The sequence below is a fragment of the Homo sapiens genome, chromosome 19 (assembly GCF_000001405.40).
Source record: "Homo sapiens chromosome 19, GRCh38.p14 Primary Assembly".
Taxonomy (NCBI): Eukaryota; Metazoa; Chordata; class Mammalia; order Primates; family Hominidae; genus Homo; species Homo sapiens.
The window spans coordinates 31,967,851-31,990,121 of record NC_000019.10 but is presented as its reverse complement, the minus strand read 5'-3'; the positions used below and the strand labels follow the sequence as shown (position 1 = coordinate 31,990,121).

General features: G+C 47.4%; 2 long non-coding RNA genes across 23 annotated transcripts in view; one reads left to right on the top strand and one right to left on the bottom strand.

Annotated features, from left to right (window-relative positions):
- Positions 1-22,271, top strand: part of LINC01837 (long intergenic non-protein coding RNA 1837) — a 234,720-nt gene that overhangs the window by 81,978 nt on the left and 130,471 nt on the right. For 2 of the 20 annotated variants that reach the window (XR_007067219.1, XR_001753913.2), the window contains one exon: positions 13,149-13,395. The exons of the other annotated variants lie outside the window; for them this stretch is intronic. This is a non-coding gene — a long non-coding RNA (long intergenic non-protein coding RNA 1837). The remainder of the gene's footprint in view (positions 1-13,148; positions 13,396-22,271) is intronic. 20 annotated transcript variants of the gene reach the window in all.
- LOC105372364 (uncharacterized) lies at positions 4,144-9,951 on the bottom strand. 3 transcript variants are annotated; one of them, XR_935910.3, is made up of 4 exons: positions 9,747-9,951; positions 7,635-7,813; positions 4,633-5,349; positions 4,144-4,362 (listed from the first exon to the last, which is right to left on the bottom strand). It is a non-coding gene; the product is annotated as an uncharacterized LOC105372364 (long non-coding RNA). The 3 variants fall into 3 exon arrangements; XR_935911.3 differs by lacking the exon at positions 7,635-7,813; XR_935909.1 differs by lacking the exon at positions 9,747-9,951 and having other exon boundaries at positions 7,635-8,691.

Here is a 22,271-nt window from a genome sequence, read left to right as displayed (position 1 = left end):
AGTGGGGGTGGGAATGCAGGTCTGAACAGAGACTGCAGCTATGTGGTCACTTTAATTTGCATAGCTCCATATGGCAAGTGGAGAGTTCCAGAGAAAGGAATTCTCCAGTGAACCGGGCTTGGGCAACCCTGAAAAGTTTTGGAGGAGTGATGTAGAGCTGTGCTTGCATGTGTATGCTTGTGTGTGTGTGTGCATGTGTCTGTGCTTATGTGTGTGTGCAGTGAAACAAGCAAGGTTAAATAAAGAGGCCTCTGCATGTCGTGGTGGCCATGGGCCACCCTCCAGCCAATGAAGAGACCTGTGCCTGTGAATCAGCCTCTGGTGCTTCTTTCCTCCTGATTGATATCCCGCCTAGCTCCTGAAGAAGTCGGAAGAATTCATTGTCCCAGCCAAGTCCATGCAGCACAGTGCTGGCTCCTGCAGAGCACATGGCCCCTACCTAACAAAAACCTCAGGAAAGGTGTGAAATACTTAGCCTTTGAGACCAGAGTGGTTCAACTATGGGAGCTGCCTTTCCCTTTGCCTAGATGAACAAGCTTGAGTTTCTGCTTTGTGTTCAGAGGCTGGGGGCAGGTGAGGTGCAAGGAGGCTCTATGTGCTACCTGGAAGCATGGGGGGGTTCCACAGGGAAAGGCTAAGTCAGGAGAAGAGGAAACCCTGGGGGCCTCCCCTTAAGGTCCAGATGGGCTTTCTGGATCTGTTTCATTGAGATGTCCTCTCTGGAGGAAAGTTGTGGTTATTGAGCACTGGGATGGGTGGGGACAGGCCACTTGTCACAAACAGGGCAGAGGAGGGGACTTTTAAATTTGGAGGTCAAGTTCATGCCCCAGGTTTTTGTCCCCCAACATGTGAATTTGACTCAGGATGTAAAAGGTGGTCGGAGAGACAGCCAACCCATCAAGCCCCTCATGGCCGAGGGCTCTTCCCTTGATGGTCAGGTATTTCCCCATGGATAGGAAATGAGAAACAAACAGCTAGTCCAAGTCACTGCAGGGGAAAAGAAATCTTGAAGGCAGAGTCCACAGCCTACTGCAATTGTGAAGTTTCTCTATCATCTCGTGATTGATTTTTAAGTCATGCAAAATTTGAATTCTATTTATTGCTATCTATGTCTGATTTATGTAAAAGTTAATGTTTGAGCTTCATTATGTCACACAAAGTGAACTGTAGGAAGACCCACTTCTTTTGCCCTGTGGCTTCATCCTGTGCCTCTCTCCTGGCTCCAGGTGCCACGCCTCCACCTGGCCTCCCATGGATGAGAGTCCTCTGGTTTGAAAGACTTTGTTTAGAGGATGGTGTTTTGAGAATGCCTGGATCTAAGCCTCTCTCAATCCTTCTGGCAAGTTTGCAGCAGACTGATACTAAGGTTCAGGCTGTGATTTTTCAGGGCAGCAGTTGTATTAGTCAGAGTTCTCCAGAGAATAAGAACCTATCAGATGAATGGGTAGATAGATAAGTGATAGATACAGATAGATAATAGGTAGAGAAATAGATGGTAGATATAGATAGATGATAGGTATAGTTAGATAGCAAGAGATGAATGCTAGATATAGATAAGTAGATAATAAATAGATGATAGGTGGATGATAGATTAAATAGATAAATAGATCGATGGATAGATAGATGAATGGATAGATGGATGGATGGATAGATAGATTAATAGATGAATGGATGGATGGATGGATAGATGGATGGATGGATGGATATAGATAGATGGATAGCTAGATGGATGGATAGACGGATGGATGGATGGATAGATAGATAGATAGATAGATGGTTGGGCAGACAGATAGATTTCTTATAAGGAATTGACTCATGTGATTATGGAGGCTGACAAGTCCAAAACCTACAGAATCAACATCTCAGGTTGAGTCTGAAGGCCAGCAGGCTGTTGTGAAACCACAAAGAGCTGATATTCCAGTTTGAAGGCTGGCAGGCAGGGAGCATTCTCTCTTACCTGGGGGACGTCAGCCTTTTGTTTTTAATTCTGGCCTTCAATGAATTGGATGAGGCCCCACCCACGTCGGGGAGGGTCATCTGCTTTACTCAGTCTACCTGTTTAAATGCGAATCTGATCCAGAAACACCCCTGTGGACACACCCAGAATAATGTTTGACCAAATATCTGGGCACCCTGGGGCCCAGTCAAATTGGCACATAAAATTTACCATCACAGCAGTATTTAGAGCAGGAATTAGTGTCATCAAGAATGTTCTTTGAATGGCCTTGTGTTTTTCTTTGTCTGGGCACCAGAGCCCCAGACTTCTCATCTGAGAGATGAAGGTGGAGAAGTTTCATTAAATAAGGCATATTTCTAAAGCACCATTTGCCTGACCCGGTGAGTGGGAACAGGTGCTTAAGGACAAAAGGGAAGTACTTTTTCATTTCTTCTCTGTCCAGGAGGATCAAACCTGGCCCGTACCTTGATGTGAGTCGGGATCACAAGCCAGTGGCCAGTGCAGAGGCTAAAGCCAACTGCTCTGAATACTCTGAGGAATTTCCATTCTCAGCACTAATAGCAAGCCACCCTAACCCGACCCTGACCGAGCTCTGAGCCCCATCTTCTTCCACCTCAGTTAGCCCCAAATGGCTCTCGGGGCTCACCCTCCATTCACACTTCCATCTGCACCATTTAACTGTAGCCAGATCTACAGAAGCTATGGGGGGCAAAACACTGCTTGCTAGCTGAGCCTTATGAACACAGGAAAGAACTGGGATTGGAAGCTCAGCCTGGCAGTCGGACTTAAGTAAGCAATCACCTGAGTAATGCAGCAATAAACAAAACATAATCGAACTGGGTTCCTCTTCCCCTTTCTTCCCTCCCTTCCCACCTCCTCTCTTTCTGTTCTCTCTCTCTTTTTTTCCTCTCTTCCTTGCTTTGTCTCATTTTCTTTCCTGAGTGGGGAAAAGATGTTTGTTTCAACTCCAACTGATACAGTTTCAGCTACTCTGAGCTAGATTTCCAATTGTTTCTCACACTTCATATAGCAGCTGGTTGGGAAATATAACATCTTCCATTTAGATAAATAAGCAAAATAGAAAAAAATCAGAAAATTAATAACCAGAAAGATACACTCATTTTACTATAGTATTTCTGAAACAAAACAAAATGCAGGCTCCATCAAAGCCAGGTCTGTGGGTAGAAACCTGAAGCCCTGCTTGGGGGAGCTGTGGAGAGCTGGGAGGTGTACTGGGACCAACATGGCAGGTCGTGGGCTGATTCCTGGGGTCCCCTGCCTTACCAGCTTCCCATCGACAGCTCTGCCATTAGCCCCAGGGTGCAGCTCAAGTGTGTGATATGGCTGGAGCTTCAGAGCCAGCCCCTGGGCCCTCTGTGACCTAATTTGACCCTCCAGCGATGCAGCCCCCATGAGATACAGTCCCCATGTGGTTGCTCCTGCTTGGAGACTCCTGAGGCGCTCCGTTACATGCACATCCCCCCACCTCTGTCCACTGTTTCTGGAGTTGTTTCCCACGGCCTTCTCCTGCTGGGGGTTCCTCCTTAACATTCATGCGTGTTTGCCATGTACCCGGGTCTATGGGCAGCAATTTATGCTTATTGATTCATTGAACTTCTGTGAACCCCTGTGAGGTGGACACTATTATTATTATTATCCCCACTTTACAGATGAGGACAATGAGGTACAGAAGGCATCCAGCATCCACAGGTAAGGGCAAACCCGAGCTTCAAACATGAGCATTTGGGCTCTGGCTAGAGGTGACCATCTACTGGGTTAGGATCAGAGGCTTCATGTAAGTTTAAACAGTAATAATCATTTTAAAACAGGAGACTATCAAAATACTGAGGCATTATTGAGATGATTGCCTTTTCAAAAATGGACTTTTTTTTTTTTTTTTTTTAAAGAGGACAGAGTCTGGCTCTGTTGCCCAAGCTGGAGTGCAGTGGTGCAATCATAGCTCACCACAGCCTCAAACTCCTGGGCTCAAGCAATCCTCCTGCTTCAGCCTCCCACCAAGTAGCTGGTACTACAGGCATGCACCATTATGCTTGGCTAATTTAAAAATCATTTTTATGTAGCAATGGGGGTCTCACTATGTTGCCCAGGCTGGTCTTCAACTCCTGGCCTCAAGCAATCCTCCTGCCTTGGCCTCCTGAATCACTGAGATTACAGGCATGAGCCACTTCACTTGGCTCCAAAACATAGACATTTTTAATGTATAAAACTGCCATGCATGAATGGTGCCAGTCACAGGACAACAACAGGGTTTATGGGATTAATGTGACTCCCTGGTGCACTCACTCCCAGGGGTGTGGTCCAGGGATATCCTTGAGTCAGAGGTTGCTTGATGAACACTTTTGCCTTCCGGGGCTGTCTGTGTGCCTCCAAAACTCCATGTCCTCCTAGGGAGGAAGCCAGGGAACTTCTGACTTGTAGCTCCCACTCCTGCCACCATCACTGTCCCCAGTGCCCAGCTTGTCCTGAGCTGCAGTCACACAGGATGGAAATCCACTCCATGAACATACCACTGCCCTTTCCTGCCCTCCTGCCTTCCTTATGTGGATCTCTCTCTCCCACCCCTGTCCCCCTTCTCTTCCTCTTTCCCCCATTACCATCTGTGTCTGATGATGCCCTCCCCTCCCCCAAGAGCTGCTGAAATTCTAGCCCCTCACCTGACTCCACCCTGGAGTGCCGCCCCAGGTGATCTTTCCCTCCAGCGATCTGCTCTGTGTTGTGGTGCTGCTCACTCCAGCAGAGTCATCACTTCCAGGCTTGTCTTCCACGTCCATGCTGTGTACAGTGCCCACCAGCGGGTCTCACACACACGGCGGGGGAGGTGGTCAGACTAGCCCACTGCCAGAGTGCATGGTTTGGGGAGAACCCTCAGACCTGTCCAGTGGGGACTTATCAGTCAGCAAAAATCCTCCTAGTTGAGTCCCTGTGCTCAGCCCTGGCTGGGTGCTTTGGGCAAGGCATGCCCCCATCCTCAGAGGGGAAGGTATGATACATGCATAAACACATCAATCCCTCTGCTAGAAGGACAGCATCCATGTTTGTGAGGAGGAGAAAGCCAAACCACAGGCATCCAGAGTACAAGGTCACATCTGGCAGGGAAGGGAGAGGTTCGAGAAGGCCTGAGAGCTGGCTGTTGGAGGACAGGACTCTGTGTCTTCCTAGGCTCAGATGCTCAGCATGAGTTTCTTGCAAATATAAGGCTGCAGGTGGCCTTTCGTTTGGGGAGCAGCAAAGGAGGGAACATGCATGCTTTCTCTCCCAACATCAGGATTCTTGCAGGGACATGAGTGGGCCTGCAGGATTTGGCCATTCCCAGCTCTGCAGAAGGGCTGTGAGGGTGTCCAGTGCAACTGGAGCTGGAAGCTTGAGAGGCTCTGTAGGTAGAGAGATGGTTAGGACATTGCGTGTTGAGACCATAGGGTTTAGACTGGCTGGTGGAAGGATCTCAGTAATTTTGAGCTGAGCAACCAGATGGATGAATTGCCTGTAACTGAGATAAGGAAGACTGAGGGATGAGAAAGACTGTGGAAGAAGAAGGTTTGGAGGAGGAAAGTGGTAGGAATTAAGCTTTACAGATTCAAGTGTGCAATGCTTGTTACTTTGGTAAGAAGTGGCATAGGAATCTGCAGTCCAGAGGAATGGTCCTGAGTGAAGATCCGGCCAAGGTGCTCTCAGCATGTAGGCTGACTACCCTGCAGAGACAGATTTATTATGTACAATCTGCACATGAGGAGAACAAGCCCCAGAGAGGGTACGCAACTCACAGCAATGAAGGGTCTCACAGTGATGAAGGGTCTCACAGTGATGAAGGGTCTCACAGCTAGTGAGCAGTGATGTCAGGATTCAAACTAGGGGCTGGGTGGCTCCTAATCTGGTCCCCTTAACCACTGGACTGCCTGTGTGGCAAGGCAGTACTACTACCCATTGGAACAGGCCAAACCACTCCCTTCGTGGAGACCTCAGCATGCCTTGACAGCTTTTGCTGTACTGAGGCATTCCCTGGAAACAATAAGAACAAGATATCCATACATTAGGCAAGGATTCAATTGTGTACAGCAGTGGTTCTGCAAGTGCCACCCCAGGACAGTGGCTCAGCATCACTTGGAAAGTGTAAGAAATGCAAATTCCTGGGTTTCACCCCGAACCAACTGAGTGAGAGACTCTGGGGGTGAGGTTTTAACAAGACCTCCAGATGAGAATTGGAAAACCATCAACAACATCTCTCTCTGCCCTCCACCAGCTGCCTGCCCCCTGCCTTTCTCCAGGGGTCCTAGCAGCTCTGCTCCCAGGCAGGTGCAGGTAGAAGAGCCTTGCTCAGCTGGGGCTGTGCAGCCTGGTGGCTATGGGGACTGCCACTGAGAACAGCCCTGCAAGCAGCTGTGGTCGATGCAAGAGCTGTCAGAGGGTCAAAGACACTCCACTGATCAGGTGTAGTGCTCAATGTCCTTCCTTCTGCTCAGTGGTGGGTGTGGGAAATAGTAGCCCCAGAAAACAGGACGTTCCCTGACTTGAACCTTTTTCCCTCCCATCACATAGACCCCAAATCAAGGCAAGGGAGTCGGCTTGATCATGATGGTCAGAGATCCCCATGGAAGAAAATATGGATATAATATCACTTGGGGTGTTTGCAGATAATCTTTCACGGGGAGAGAGAGAAGTCCTAAATTCAAATGCCTCCAGGCTCCAGGCACCAAAAGCGTTGAGTGACGTGAAGCATGTCTCAAAAGCACACATTCCTTTCGGTTTAGAACTTCTCACTTTCTTAAAAAAATAAATGTTTTATTTTGAAGTAATTTTAGATTTACAGAGAAGTTGCAAAGAGAATACAGAATGTTCCAATGTACCTCTCACTGAGTTCCCCTAACATTAGAAACTTCTATTCCCAGGGTACATTTGTCAAAACTAAGAAACAACATTGTTCTATTATTATTATTACTGAACTCCAGATTTCACCCGTTTTCCCACTCATGCCCCTTTTCTGTCCCAGGATCCAGTCTGAGGAGTTCCTCATGGTTCCCATGACTTTCATAATATCCATGTGTACCGGCCAGGTAGTTAGAATGTCCTTCCCACTTCTCATAGAAGTAGGAGGTAGGCCTACAAAAATCCTGGGATTTTTGTTTTCATAAGACAGTGTGTTTTCCTGTTGCATTTCCTAATTTTAGATGTTGGTTACTAGTTTATAAATGGTGTTAATACCAGGCAGTGCCTCACAACTCTAGAAGATGCCACTTAAATTCTATAGAAATGCTCCCTTGTGCTGGGCGCAGTGGCTCATGCCTGTAATCACAGCACTTTGGGAGGCCAAGGTGGGCAGATCACCTGAGGTCAGGAGTTCGAGACCAGCCTGGCCAACATGGTGAAACCCCGTCTCTACTAAAAATACAAAAAATTAGCCAGGTGTGGTAGCGGGCACCTGTAGTCCCAGCTACTCGGGAGGCTGAGGCAGAAGAATCGCTTGAACCCGGGAGGTGGAGGTTGCAGTGAGCTGAGATCATGCGACTGCACTCCAGCCTGGGCAACAAGAGAGAAACTCTGACACACACACACACACACACACATAGAGAAATGCTGGCTTGTTAAGGTTGGGCACAGTGGTCAAGGAAGGCTCTGTAACAACAATGAAAGGAACATTTAAAAAAACACGTGTACTCTGTACCTGTCAGATGAAACACGTCCATGAGCCCTACTCAGCCACGTAACTTTGGCCATATGGCTCAGAGGTGGAGGACATTCACTGGACATCCTGGACAACACATTGGAAGAAGCATCATTGCAGTTTCTTTGTAGTTCTTCCTCCGCTCTGGCACTCTTCACTGTTTAATCCCATCGTTTAACCTGTAACCATTTTCCTGGCTTTATCTGACTCTGGTAGCTTTAATTAGGAAACTTCTGCTAAGATTCTTTTCCCCAGCATGGACTGAGCAGGTGAGTGTCTGCCAGGTTTATAATGAATTTCAATCCCAAAGGGCAGGAGGCTACTTGGAAAACAATCCTGTCTATAACTGGCCTAAGAAAGACTGACTTTTAGAAAATACCAGTGGAGCGTTAGTGACATGTTTTGGAGCAGCCGGTATGCGAGGTCGAATCTGCCCTCAGTAGCAAGAGTTGAAACTGACATTACCTGAACACCACCCATGTGCCAACCCCTGGGAGGAGGGCATCATGGGTGCTGCCTTGGCAGATCTGCACTTCAGCCCTTGCCATCCTCTCCCTCTTATGGATCAGGACCCAGTGACACAGGGATATTAAGTCACCTGCCCAAGATCATGTAGCCATCTAGCTTTGGACCAAAGATTTGTTCCTGGCTGTCTAGGTTAGGACCTGGCCTGATAGCCTCCATGCTATGCCGAGGGCCTCTACCACCTTAATGAGACAGTGATGAGTCTGCATAGGGGAGCATGTGTGGTCTGCGAGGAGGTGGCATGTGAATGGCCTCTTGAGGAAGATGTAACAGGATGTGTGGGTCACTGCCCAGGGTATACCCAGGTTCAACTGCCTGAGCCCCTTCCACAGAAGGGCATGTGGAGGCCTTGGAGTGTGAATCTCTACCTCCAGGGTTAGCCATATTATTCAGAGTACAGAGAAAACAGCAAGACTCAGTGTTTCCAATGAACAACCAACATCTAGAGCAAGCTTGTCCAGCTCGAGGCCTGTAGGCCACATGGCCACATGCGGCCCAGCATAAATCTGTAAAGTTTCTTAAAACATTATGAGATTGTTTTGTGATTTTTTTAATTTTTATTTTTTAGCTCATCAGCTATCATTAGTGTTAGTGTATTTTATGTATGGCCCAAGACAATTTTTCTTCTTCCAGTGTGGCCCAGGAAGCCAAAAGATTGGACACCCCTGTAGAAGGTCTCTCAATTGATGGTTTCTGCGTTTCCCACTGCAAATTAATGGGGCTAAAGCTGGGATGAAACTTTTGGTACTTATAGGGTTGTCAGGTGACACATCTCAGCAGAGCTCTGGGGCTGTTTGAAAACCCTCTGCTGCTCCTCTCAGCTGCTCCTGAGATGGAGGGTGCTCCATGCACTGTTTTCGTCTGATGCCCAAAGAGTGGCTTTTTGTTGGTTGCGTGGCGCTCCGTGTGGCTTGGAGATACTTCACATTTGAAGCCACATTTCCAGCCCTCATGGCATGCTGTAGAAATGTTACAGTTGTTTTTACCCTTATCTACATAAACAACATAACTTTGTCAGAAAATTGAAAATGTGCACTTTGTCCCATCAGCTAAAATGGGCTGTCAGATAAGGCTTTTTTTCTCCATTGCATCCGATGAATGATGTAAATGGTTTTTGGCTTTGGAGTTCTTTTGCAAGGCACTAGAGTAAATGATCAGAGTAGTAACATTTTTAACCTTATCTATCATACTGAAACATTTTTTCTGCCTCCAATAAAACATGTCAGAGTCGATTAAGGACATTTTTCAATGAGGTATAATTCACAGATTTTAGTAGCGAATCCAAGAGCACTGAAGTATTAAAGAGGCTGTGAATACTTAATTAAGGCTATGTTACCATCCTACCTTTGCCTGAATTCACTTAACGCTTTGGAGCTCTGCTCTGAAAACGCACAATTTGTCTGATGGCGGGGTCGGAGGAGTAGCAGGTAGGATGGCCGGGGATGTGTCACATTGTATCTGGTGACAGGGCCGTGAAAGATATGGCGGCTCAGTACGTTTGGCGGTGCTTATCTGGTACATGAGTGCACATTACTTCCCAAAGACCGGGATCACTTTGGACAGTATCATTAAATGCTACGTCATTACCTGTTATAGAGCAGTGCTTTAGCTTCAAGGGCCTCTTGGGAAACATGGAACAGTCGGAAGAATGATGGGCAAAGATGGAGCTGGCATTAAATTTTCAATGGAAGCAGTATTGGCTTTGACTTTTCAGAAGGCTTATCTGTTAGATGGTGTTTGTCACTGGGCCGCGGAGCTGTGGATGTTCGTCAGTTGGAAGTTGCAGGCAGTTGAACGATATGGACAGGTGAAGGCTCCGTGGGGACTGGCCCAGCTCGCGGAGAGCTGGAGGGGGTAAATTGAAGGTTTATTTATCCCATTCGCTGTCAAGGTCAGCTTGCTAGAGAGCTGTCCTATGGATGCTTACAAATGCCAAAATCCTGGCAAATTGTCGAAAAGAGCCTCCAAATCACTGACCTTTGTACAGCTCCCATCAACGTGCCCGTGTCTCTGAACGGGGTCCTTAGAGAGAGTTAAATGGTTGGTAAAATGAGGCTTATGCTGTTGCTGTAATGTCAACAGAGCTGCTATGTATTTTTTATTTTTGTGTTTTCAGCAACAAGGATGAAGTTAAAGATATGACTGATGAAAGAAGGAGTTTGGGGTGGGGTGGGGGGAGCTGAGCAAAATAATTATGCTGGTGTGGGTTTTGGCAAACGAGTTGGTCTGAATTTCTACATTTGAGCATATTTCCAGCCTGGAGTCAGAGGCATCTCTCTGTTTCCATTGTTATGTTCCTTGTTGGAAAGGGGCATTTCACAGTTCTTTTTGTCATCCCTCCTCCCCGCTCAGGGTGCTTGATGCAGCCACAGGCTCTCCTGGGGCTGGCTGTTCTGAGTGATGTGTTCTCTTGCTGTGACTTCTGGTCTGACTTTGCCATGACAGCTAATTTAAGGAGGCATGACAGAGCCAGCCATATTGTCTTCCGTTCCTTTTGTTGACGGTGAGCAACACTGCAGTACAGTTAACCAAACGTAGTGGGCATTATCCAGAAATTGAGGAATAACCACAACATGGAATATTATGCATCCATTAAAAAGAATGCACTAGGGCACTGCCTGTTGACCTGGAAAGATAGCTATGGGATCTCAAGAGTGCATGTGTGAATACTGTGATCAGATTTTACAAAAAAATAAAGCCACCTTCTTCCCGGGGTTGCCAGATAAAATAGAAGACACTCAATACATTTGAATTTCAGATAAACAAGAAATAATCTAGAAATGACTTAAAAGCTGTGTGTTGTTTATCTGAAATTCAAACGTAACTGGATGTCCTGTGTTTTTATTTGCAAAATCTGTCAACTCTCTCCCCTCCCCTCAGACAGGTAATGCATATGGACGTGATGTATATGTGTGTCTATATGTATGCATGCAAGTATGAGTAAATATGCATATTTGTATGTGGTTATATAGTCATGGAGTAAATAAAGAAGGATGTATCCTGGATAATTAACATGGATTTTTCTGGAAGAGGCTGCATAGGGGTTGATATGAGAGCGTGTGGTGGAGAAAGCAGGTGGAAGGGAGGAAAGGGTGAGGGAAACAGAAAAGGCAAAAGGGAAAGCCCAAAGGTGGTAGGTCATCCTCTTGTTCACTCTACAAAGGATTGTCTAGATTTCCTTTCTCAGGGCCTGGGGCAGGCACCCAGGATTCCTAGAGGAGGTGGCCAGGGCCCCTGGCTGATAGGAAAGCAGGCCATCCCATCACCGTGTGCCTTGGGCCCTGTGGAGATTATAGGAGGGGGCTGGGGGCTGGACAGTCAGCAGTTTATCTTGCATTGCTGATTTAGAAGAGAAGATAGGCTAGGTGCAGTGGCTCACGCCTGTAATCCCAGCACTTTGGGAGGCCAAGGCAGGTGGATCACCTGAGGTCGGGAGTTCGAGACCAGCCTGAGCAACATGGAGAAACCCCATCTGTACTAAAAATACAAAATTAGCCGGGTGTGGTGGCACGTGCCTGTAATCCCAGCTACTTGGGAGGCTGAAGCAGGAGAATTGCTTGAACCTGGGAGGCGGAGGTTGCGGTGATCCGAGATCGTGCCATTGCACTCCAGCCTGGGCAACAAGAGTGAAACTCCATCTCTAAAATAAAATAAAATAAAATAAAAATAAATAAAAAAAGAGAAGATAAAAGGTTGCATCTCCACATCTCACCAGCCCTGTTTTTACTCTCTGGGTCCAAATTTGGGCTTCCTGGTCCGAATGCCTTCCTTAGCACCCACAAGCTCAGCTCAGGAATGATAACAATTGTCTCACAGTGGGCATGTGGGGACCCTGTGGAGGATAAGAAATGGCTGACGTTGGGGGATCCCCTGTCTCCTCTCTCCCTGTTTAATGTTGAAGACGGTTGCTGCAGAGGCCGGCACATCCACTATTTATAAGACCATTCAAAACCCTCCTTCTTATTTCCAAATTCAATTAAAGAGCTGTTAATACGTCCCAAGTCTGTTGTAATGAGCCCATAACTGAAACTGACATCATTATCAATTCAAACAAAACACAAACGCTTCATCTTTTACTTCCTCAGGGAAACACCCAACTTCCCCAAGCCTCAGCCTCTCCCTGGCTGGGAGGATGCCGGGAGTCTTGCCTGGTGGTTTCTTCTTTCCAAATACAAAGAGTTCTGCAGAGGACCTTCCCTTCCCACTCCACCTTGTGCCCTTGGGTCCAATGAAACTTTGATCATCGTGGTTCTGGAATGCTCTTTCTATAGCCGACATCCCTTGGCAAATTCCTTGCAGGAGGGGAGCAGCTGCAGGAAACCTGGTGGGTGGGAATTTTCTATGTTGTCATGTGGGCCAAACCTCTGATGTTCTGTGGCCCCGAATATTGGTTTCTTATAATGCAAACTTTGCAAAGCTCCAACACCCACTCTTCTGGGATGAAGAAGAAATAGGCAAATAATTTCATCAGGGTAAAAATGCAGAGAGAGAAGGAAAAAAGTCATGGGGCAGTGGTGGTCAGAGGGGACCAGGGCCAGAGGGCAGAGGGTGAGTGGTGGTCACAGGGAGTGGCTTCGACTTTCAGCTAGCGTGGGTCATGAGGGTGCTTGAGGATGTTCAACTGGACTCAGCCATTGGACACAAGGGCTCGCTGGGTTTTTCTCGGACAGGACATTGCAAGAGAGGCACAAAAGATATTCGGGAGAAGGGATATGAGTACTCAATGACCACAAACTGGGGGTCAAGAATTTCTGAGCCCCTGGTATAGGTGCACACTGACCTCATTCATTCTCTCAACAGTCCAAAGACATAAAAGGGTGACAGCCTCAGTATTTTCAGATTAAGACAGTAGGTCACTGGAAGGTTCTGTCTTGCCCAACATTGCAAAAAAGCTTGAAAGTGTTTAAACTCAAACTCAAAGGTCTTGTGGTTAAAAGTTTCTCAGAGTGGCTGAGAAGTGTGAGTAATTGCAGACTCTTTACCCAACAGGTATTCCTGTAAGCTGTGAACTCATCCACAGGTGGCCTGGAAATTCTCACTCCTAAGGCACAAGGGAACCTCTCTCTTGCCCACTGGGTCCTCAGTAGCTTGAACACAGACCTGTGGCTTCTCTCCCTGTGTCCTCCTCTGCATCCTTGACATCACCCTTCTCTGGAGGGCCCGGACTTTCCAGAGTCTACTGGAAGCTCTCATATGAACTGGGGAATCTATCACTGGGTTCTCACATGGATTTGGGGTATGTGCCAGTTCTGATGGGGCTGTGAGTCTGAGCTGGGTCACGCTGGGAACTAGCACTTCCCACGTGCAGTGGGGTTGGTGCCGTGGCTGGGCTGTGCTGCAGCCTGCTCTGGGAAGCCAACACAGCCTCTTTCCAGAGCCTGTTTTCCAGAAGGATCTGGCACCTGGAGGCCTGGAGAAGACTCCCATAGGAATGCTAGGTAGAGCATCCTGCAAGCACTTGTGATGGAGTGAGGTTGATATGGCTTGGATGTTTTTTCCCCCCTCCAAATCTCATGTCAGAATGTGATCTCCAATGTTGGAGGTGGGGCCTGGTGGAGGGTGTTTGGGTCATGGGGGGTGGATTCCTCATGAATGGCTTGGTGCCCACCCTGCAGTAATGAGTTCATGGGAGATCTGGTTGTTAAAGAAACTGACATCTCCTCCTTGCTGTCTTGCTCCCTCTCTCCCTACGTGACACGCCAGCTCCCCGCTTGCTTTCTGCCACTAGGAAAACTTCCTGAGGCCTCCCCAGAAGAAGCCGAGCAGACGCTGGTGCTGTGCTTGAGTAGCCTGCAGAACCATAAGCCAAATAAACCTCTTTTCTTTATAGATTACCCAGCCTCAGGTATTCCTTTATAACAATGCAAATCGACTGACACAGAGAGCAAATTTCTTTTCAACTTCATCAACTGCCCGGCTCCAGAATCTCAGTGGCCTCTCTGTGTAGGTCAGGAAGTCTCAACTACTGTGGCTTACCCCATCCCAAAGTGGAAAATTATCAGTGGTTTCTTTTCTTTCTTCTTTTTGTTTTGAGATGGAGTCACTCCATTGCCCAGGCTGGAGTGCAGTGCCGTGATCTTGACTCACTGCAACCTCCACCTCCCGGGTTCAAGTGATTCTCCTACCTCAACCTCTCGAGTAGCTGGGATTACAGGCACATGCCACTACACTTGGCTAATTTTTGTATTTTTAGTAGAGATGATGTTTTGCCATGTTGGCCATGCTGGTCTTTAATGCCTGACCTTAAGTGACCCTCCCCCCTTGGCCTCTCAAAGTGCTGGGATTACAGCCGTGAACCACCATGCCTGGCTGATCAGTGATTTCTGCACAGAGCCCATCAGCTTTGCCCTGGCCAGTTTCCACCTCCCTGAGTTTCTCAGACTGCTTTTACAAACTCCCAGAGAGGCCATGCAGATACAAATTCCAGTGCCCAGCACCAAGTCCACAAAGAGGCTCATTTGCCTTTCCTTCTGTTTTCCCTCCCTGCCCCTTGACGGACCTTATGTTAGCCATTCCTTCCTTCCCTCCTTCACTCCCTCCTGCCCTCATGCACTCATCAGGTATTTAGATGGCCACTGAGGGTTTCCTGTGAGTGGACATTGTCCCAGCCTCTGAAGATTCTGAACAAAACAGGCAAGGTATCTTTCACGGAGGTTATATACTTTAGGGAAGATGCTGACCATGCAAACAAACACAAGATAATTTCAGAGAGCAGGAAGTGCTATGAAGAAAATCCCTCAGATGAACATGATGGTCAGCTCTACTGAGGTCTTTGAGTTGAATGTTGAAAGTCCGGGGGAGCCGACCAAGGGAAGGCCCGGAGTGGGAGGACTGCTGAGAGTGGGAGAATCTGCAAAGGCCCTAAGGTGAGAGGAGGAAGCTTGAGAGAAGCTTAGAGGACACAGAGGCCCATGGTTGAAAATGAGTCTGGGAGGCCAGCAGAGCTGGGCCAGGCAGGGTCTTCCACCTGGAGCTGCACTGGATTTTATTCTCACCCCAGTCTCTCATGGAGAGTTCACAGACTGCAGCTTCCTTCTGTGCCTGCAGCTTGGCTTGCACAGCTCCCCTCCCTGAGAAACCCTCCTTGTTCTTTGTCTACTGACGTTTTGCTCCTCTGAAATACCTCCTCTTGCATGAAGCCTTCTCAGTTTCCCTGGCAGGATCCATTTCTCTCCCACGTGACTCTGTTGGACAAAACACCCTCTTTGCAGCACTTCTGTGGCTTTGCGTGGTGTTTCTGAGTTCCGAGGCCATGCTATGTCCATCTCTGTAGCCCCTCAGTACTTGGTGCATGGAATGTACTCAGGCATCTTCCTCTAAGCCAGCAGCAGGCTGGAGATGGAGGCCAAAGCTGGGCTTCCTACCTTTCTTCTAGATCTTTGGAGGAGCCCTGGGTTAGGGTGGGAGCAGTTTTAGGCATTTGCCCAGTTATTTTTAGTTTTGGGTGAGCAGCTGGGTAAGAGATGACTCAGACTGGTGAGCAAAGGGAGAAGGCTAGAGGCGGGAGCAATATCCCTGGCTGTGGGCACCAAATCTTTGAGGACCACAGCAGGGCCGTGGGACGACATCTGTCATTAGAAAAGCCAATGGTGAGGTGTGTCTTTATCACCACGGGAAGTAAAAATGAATTAATGCTTGAGCAGGAGCTGCTGTGAAGGCAGCTTCTTACAGATTAATGCTGTATGAAGCCCTCTGTCCCCACCAACATATGCCTGACTCCCTGAGCAGGCCCTTAGCCTTGGTGGGATTTCAGCAGGGGAGAGGTTCCATTTGAATGATGCTCATCTGTGTCTTCTCTAAGCCCACATAAGGGCTATTCCTATTTACCAGGTGGTTGTCTGGCTGGGATTTCCCCTAAACTGAGCTTGTCCTCAGTAGGGACCCCCCAGTGTCAGCCCCAGCCCATAAAGGTGGCACGGGGGTCAACCATGCAGCATTTATTTTGCTGGCCCTACCTGTTCTGAGCACACAGCCTGCTCTGACCACCCAGGCCTGCAGAGAGCTGGGAGGCAGCACCTTTAGCAACCCTTGAAGTCTGAGAACACTGTGCTCTCCTAGTAGCTGCCTTGACTCTGCTGGGTTTGAGGGTCGGCCTTCTCCTCTGCCCACTCCCACCCACCAGCCCACTGTCCTCTGGGCAAGATGCATGGACCCATGGAGACCCTCCCTGTAACTTGTCTTACTATTTCCCAGAACTCTTTCTTTCCTCCAAAGACAAGGTGACCTGGCTTCCTTCTCCCTGTCCTATTTTTGATGGCAGGAGTGGTTAAATCAAATGACAGAGAACACATTATGTTTGCCACTGTATGCCTTCAACCAACAAACTGCCCTTCTGCATGATGGCTTCTCACTGGCCCATGGCGAAGGACAGAGGAGTGGGGAGTTATCCCCGTTCTGGGGGTAGGGTCATCACACTCCATCATCTCCTGCCCCCAACACTGACGCCTCATGGTGTTTGACCAGCAGGACTAGGGCCCAGCATCCTCCAGATGGCTCTGAAAGCCCCAGGCCAGCACAGAGCCAGGCATGAGTGTTGCTGAAAGGATACGTGAATCTGTGGCTTTTGAGAGGAAATGCTCCCAATGAGTAGCTGACTTTGCTAAAGGAGGTGACGTCCTGATCTTGACCTTGACCTTGAGGCAGTGCCGCTATTGTCAATGGGGCTGCAAGGTTGTGCTCTGGGCTGCCTACCTAAGTCACACCAACTTGCAAAAAGTCCCAGGAATATTTACAGTTGGTCTTTAAACAGCAGTGGATACGAATAAAAGAGCAATATCTCACATCATTAGTCCATAAATATGCAGTTTAGTTTTATTTGTCAAATAAAATAACCTGAGATTGAGCTGCCTAGCTGAAAGACACAGACATACATACGCCTGTCTCCTTGCCCTGCCGCCTCTCCCTGATTTTTGCAGCCCTGCAGGAACGTTTTTTCCCCAAGTTGTCCTACTCTCTCCCTTTCCTGGGGAGAATCATTCAGGCACGTTTGCCTCCCTCTTCCTCCAGGCGAAGCCAACTGAATGCCTAGGCTGTCATCGAGGCCATCGGCTCCAGCCCTCTGGGAAAGGAAGAGCTGAAATCCCCTCCCTTGCTTCCCTTATTTAAGGGAGGCTCATTTTGATTTTATAAAAGGCTTGGAGTCTGTGCAGGCTGGAAGCTGGCTCTGCTCGTCGTGGGGGTCTATGCCATGTTCCCCTGCAGGAACAGAGTAGGAGGGCTCTGCCACAGCCCAGCCTGAATTTTCTGTCATCACTGCATCCAGCTGGGTGTGTGTAAACTGGCAGGGGTCCTGGAACGTGAGCAGGAAGGCAGGAGGGATGTATTCCTCCAGGGATACAGAACTTCCCAGTGTAGGGTGAAGACCAGCTCCGTGTGCCCTGTGTTCATCTGGCGACGGGTGGGAGAGGCCTGGGTGCAGATGTGCACCTAGGTTTTGCCCAGTTTAGTGGGCCATGTCTTCTGAGTTAGGTGTTGCAGTGGAACAGGGAGGATGGGCTGGTGGGAGTCAGGGCTCTTGATTAGTAGGCATGGTTGGGTGACACGGCCCTGCCTCTCCACAAAGCTGCCTGCACTTCCTGAATCTCTGAAGCCTTGAAGTTTTATCTATCTTGGGTATAGCTCAGCCAGAGCAGAAGATGACCTAATCTGATTGTTGGTAATTTTTTTTAATTTAATTTTTTTCAGTTTTTAATTTTTGTGGATACATAGTATGTGTATGTATTTATGGGGTACATGAAATATTTTGATACAGGCATGCTATGTGTAATACATCCGGGTAAACATGGTATCTATCCCCTCAAGTATTTATCCTTTGTGTTTCAGACAGTTAGATTATACTCTTAGTTATTTTTAAACAAATAATTATTTTTTACTATTGTCACCCTGTTGTGCTAGCAAATACTAGGTCTTATTTATTTAAGTTGTTGGAATATATATATATATATATATATATATATATATTCGAGATAGGGTCTCACTCTGTCACTCAGGCTGGACTGCATTGGCACAATCTTGGCTCATTGTAGCCTCAACCTCTCAGGCTCAAGTGATCCTCCCATCTCAGCCTCCCGAGTAGCTGGGACTACAGGTGCATGCCACCATGCCTGTCCAAATTTTTTTTTTTGAATTTATGGTAAAGGTGGGGTTTCCCCATGTTGCTCAGGGCTGGTCTCAAACTCCACGTCTCCATGCCCAGCCTGTTGGTAATATTTTAAGCAGAGATATTAAAGACAGTGTATCCTGTCAGCAGACAACACCACCAAGACTCAGTATATTAAGTCTGAACTTGATCTCAGAATGTCTGTCTGTTCTTTTGCAAATAGGACCTTGACTTCCAAATTAATATTTGCCTTGTAAGACTCAGAAACAGCTCCATCGGGGGAGACCGAGGGACGTGATGGTGAATGGAGAGGGTCTTAGGTGAACCAGCAACCCCCTCATGCTCACCCCTCAAAACCCAAAGGCTTTCTGGGTCAGGTGTTGGAGTGAGAATTTTACTTGTGCTTTCCTTTCAGCTTTCACTTCCTCTTGGATCCTTCTAGTGACTATGATAAAATCATCATAGATTTTAGACTGATAAGTTCCCAGCACCCTCGAAAATGCAAAGGCCAGGAACAGAGCAGGGAGGGCTCTGCTATACCCCAGCCTGGATTTCATGTTGTCACTAAGTCCAGATGGGTGTAGGTAAACTGGCAGGAGTCCTGGAATGTGAGCAGGTAGGCAGAAGGGATACATTCGCCCAGGGAAAAGAACTTCCCAGTGTAGGGTGAAGGCTGGCACCATGTTCCCCATTTCCATCTGGCAATGAGTCGGAGAGGCCTTGGGTGCAGATGTACATAATATACTTTAATACATAAATAAGCCATGGTTTTCAGTTAATATGATTGTTTCTTATTGCACCTCTGCATGATAAGTATGTCCGTAGATGCCATGTTTTATTAAACTAACTGGTGTTATATTTTTGAGAAGGAAGTTTGTGATGTAATGAAATTCAAAGTTGTATGTTTCCCATCGCAATATTCTCTCTACAACGTCCTTCAGAGGCATAAGTCTTTTGTGTTACAAACAGAGAGAAGAGATAGCCTGAACTGAGAAATCAGTTTTCTTTTCTTTTCTTTTTTTTTTGAGACGGAGTTTTGCTCTTGTTGGCCAGGCTGGAGTACAATGGTGTGATCTTGGCTCACTGTAACCTCCACCTCCCGGACTCAAGCGATTCTCCTGCCTCAGCCTCCCCAGTAGCTGGGATGACAGGAGCGTGCCAGCGCACCTGGCTAATTTTTTGTATTTTTAGTAGAGACAGGATTTCACCATATTGGCCAGGCTGGTCTCGAACTCCTGACCTCAGATGATCCACCCACCTCAGCCTCCCAAAAGTGCTGGGATTACAGGCATGAGCCACCATGCTTGGCTGAGAAATCAGTCTTCTAAGGGACCTAGAAGAAAAACAAGGAATTAGAATAATTAAAAAGTGGAAAAAAGAACAGGGCTGTACCAAGTCAGGCTTTCCCAATAAGCTAACCATGAGATGTGTAGAAGTGTTAAACATCAACTCTGGGCCAAGTGGTTGGTTTGAACCAGGGAAGTTTTGCAGCAGTGGCTGCCTTGAAGTTTGATAAGAGCAGAATGATTCTGACATGATTTGTAGGGATGGTCTTCTGGACATGGGAGGGGCTGGCTTTCCTATTGCATATCTCCCATGAAATCTTACCCTTTTGGTGTCCTTGGGAGTTTCATCTTTTTAAGTGATGGTCATTTTCTTGGTGCCAAGATACTGTTTTTGTGCTCAAGCACTTGTCAGAAATTGTGACATAAGACAGAAACTTACATGACTCGCCATGAACAAAAAGGAATGTGTCTTGTTAGCAGCACAGGCAGGATACACAGCCCAGACCGGCAGCTTTTATTGCTTTTGCAAAGGAGAAGAAAATATCATCCAGTTCGATGATGCTCTATCTTTGAAGAAATAGGCAAGATTTATCCTGAAGCACCAGAACAGTGGGTTTCTGATGACCCTTTCCTGTTGGCCTCTAGACATGGCTGGTCTCAGGGTGTGCTCATCCTTTTGGGGTGGTGTCCGGGCGGGCTATCTGCATGCAGGTGAAATAAACAGCCCCTAGCACTTTGCTTGGTCACAGGAAACATGCTGGGTGTCAGAGCCACAGCCAAGCGTTGTCCAAGGTACAGACACATCCCCAGTGTAGCCCCACTCAATGAAACCCCTTTCAAGGCCGGGTCTACCCCTGTGAGTTCTTTCCTCTTGGCTTAAACAGGCCTTGTACACATTAAGTGTTCAAGAGATGGGGCTGTCAGTGTCGGTCAGACAGACGGGCTGTACTAACATGATCTGGTGTTCATTTCATCATTTCTCCGTTGACACAACTGAGAACGTTTTTCCTCAAATGCTTAGTTCAGATTTGGCTGTTGCACGGTGGGTTTGCCTGTCATGAAAACAGCTAGATAAAATTTCCATGAAAAGTATTTTAAAAGGCAGATGTGGACAATAAGGAAAAGTGCAGTGAAAGGTTTAAAACGTAGAAACTCTGTGGCCTGGGTTTGTCTTCTTAAGACCCCTTAAACAACCACAGCCCTGTTCCTCTTCCCCCAGTTGACAGAGCGCCATTTCGTGGGTGTGGAGGTAAAAAGACGTCACCAGCCCTGCTGTCCCTCTAGGTCACAGCTCAGGCCTGACATCAGCAGAGAGAACAGAAGGGTCACCTCCCCAGAGAAGGAAGGAGCTTTGCCTTTGAACGATGCATTTAAAACATTTATAAAACATCCTTCAACTTCTTCCAGGAACAAAAGTTTTAAATGAAGGAAAGAGCCTCAGCTATTTCAAGGTCTTGGATTCTTTCCCTTTCTGGCATTTGTGAGCAGCCGTGCAGATTTTTTCCTCCAGAAATGGAGGAAGACTGATTTAGCAAGTTTGCAAAGAGCCCACTTGTGTGAAACACCTTCCCTCCTGCTTTAAGGTGAAACTCCTCTTTCTAGGAGGAAAGCAGATAGAGGTCTAGGTCTGGATTGCGTTGGTCCTAGCATTTGTCACAGCGTTCTACTGAATTAGTGACTCAGTGCAGCAGTCACTTAAAAAAGAGACCCAGTTAAAATAGAGGGGCCAAAATCTTTGCTGCTTTTCCTCGAGATTCTCATGGGGTCCTTGTCAATTTCTATTAAGCTGTGGCAGGTTCAGGAGGAGCACTCAATTAATGGTTTGTTTAGGTGGCTCTCTATTGGTCACATGGAGAACTCCTTGAGAGTGGGACAGGATCTTATTTTAGCATTTCCAGCCAATAGCTAGAGTGCTGGGCAACAAAAGGTGCCCAGTCAATGGTGATTGATTATTTGATCCACATTTAATTGACTGCCTTGCCCCCACTCCTCCACTCACACAATAAGACCACGCAAAGGTGTGATAGGAAATATTTGGATGGTCAAGTTTTAACAGCATGAAGTGTGGTCTCCACGAGAACATCCGTGGATTTTTTATGGTTTCTGAACAAGGTTCCCATGACTGTGCTGCTGTACATGCCTTAATTCAGATTTTGAACTTAAGGACCACCTGCTCAACAAAGTCCTCTCTGTGTCCCGCAAGTTAGACCTGTATTCACAGGACACACAGACCTTAAAGGTGTGACAGTCATGGTGGCATCTGTAGGAAGGAGGCTGGGAGGAAGGGCTGGCAGGAACAGCTGTGCACCTCTAACTGGGGTCATGAGGGCTGGTCTGAAAACAGAGGTGCCGATGGCTGGAGGAAGTGGGTGAGAGCAGCTTGTGTCTTTTGCAGAGGGAAGGAAAGGGACACTTCCTTTTGGAAAGACAACTGGTGTGATACAGGGAGAGGCGAAGTCAACAGAAGAACAATGCCAAAAAACTACTTGATGACTGAATTCCAGGATCACAGCCCCAGCTTTCCATGACAGGGCCAACCAAGGCTGTGGTCTTGTGTGCATCCGTCAATTAAAGCAGGAGGGAAGTTTCAAAGCAAAGTCATTCCAGTAAAAACTTAACAAGCCCTGGGCTGACTTTAAGGATGCATGTGAAATCATGACAAAACAAGGATTTTATTTTGTTTTCCATGGGCTAAATTATTTCAGTTCTTGGTGTATAAGTGTTTTG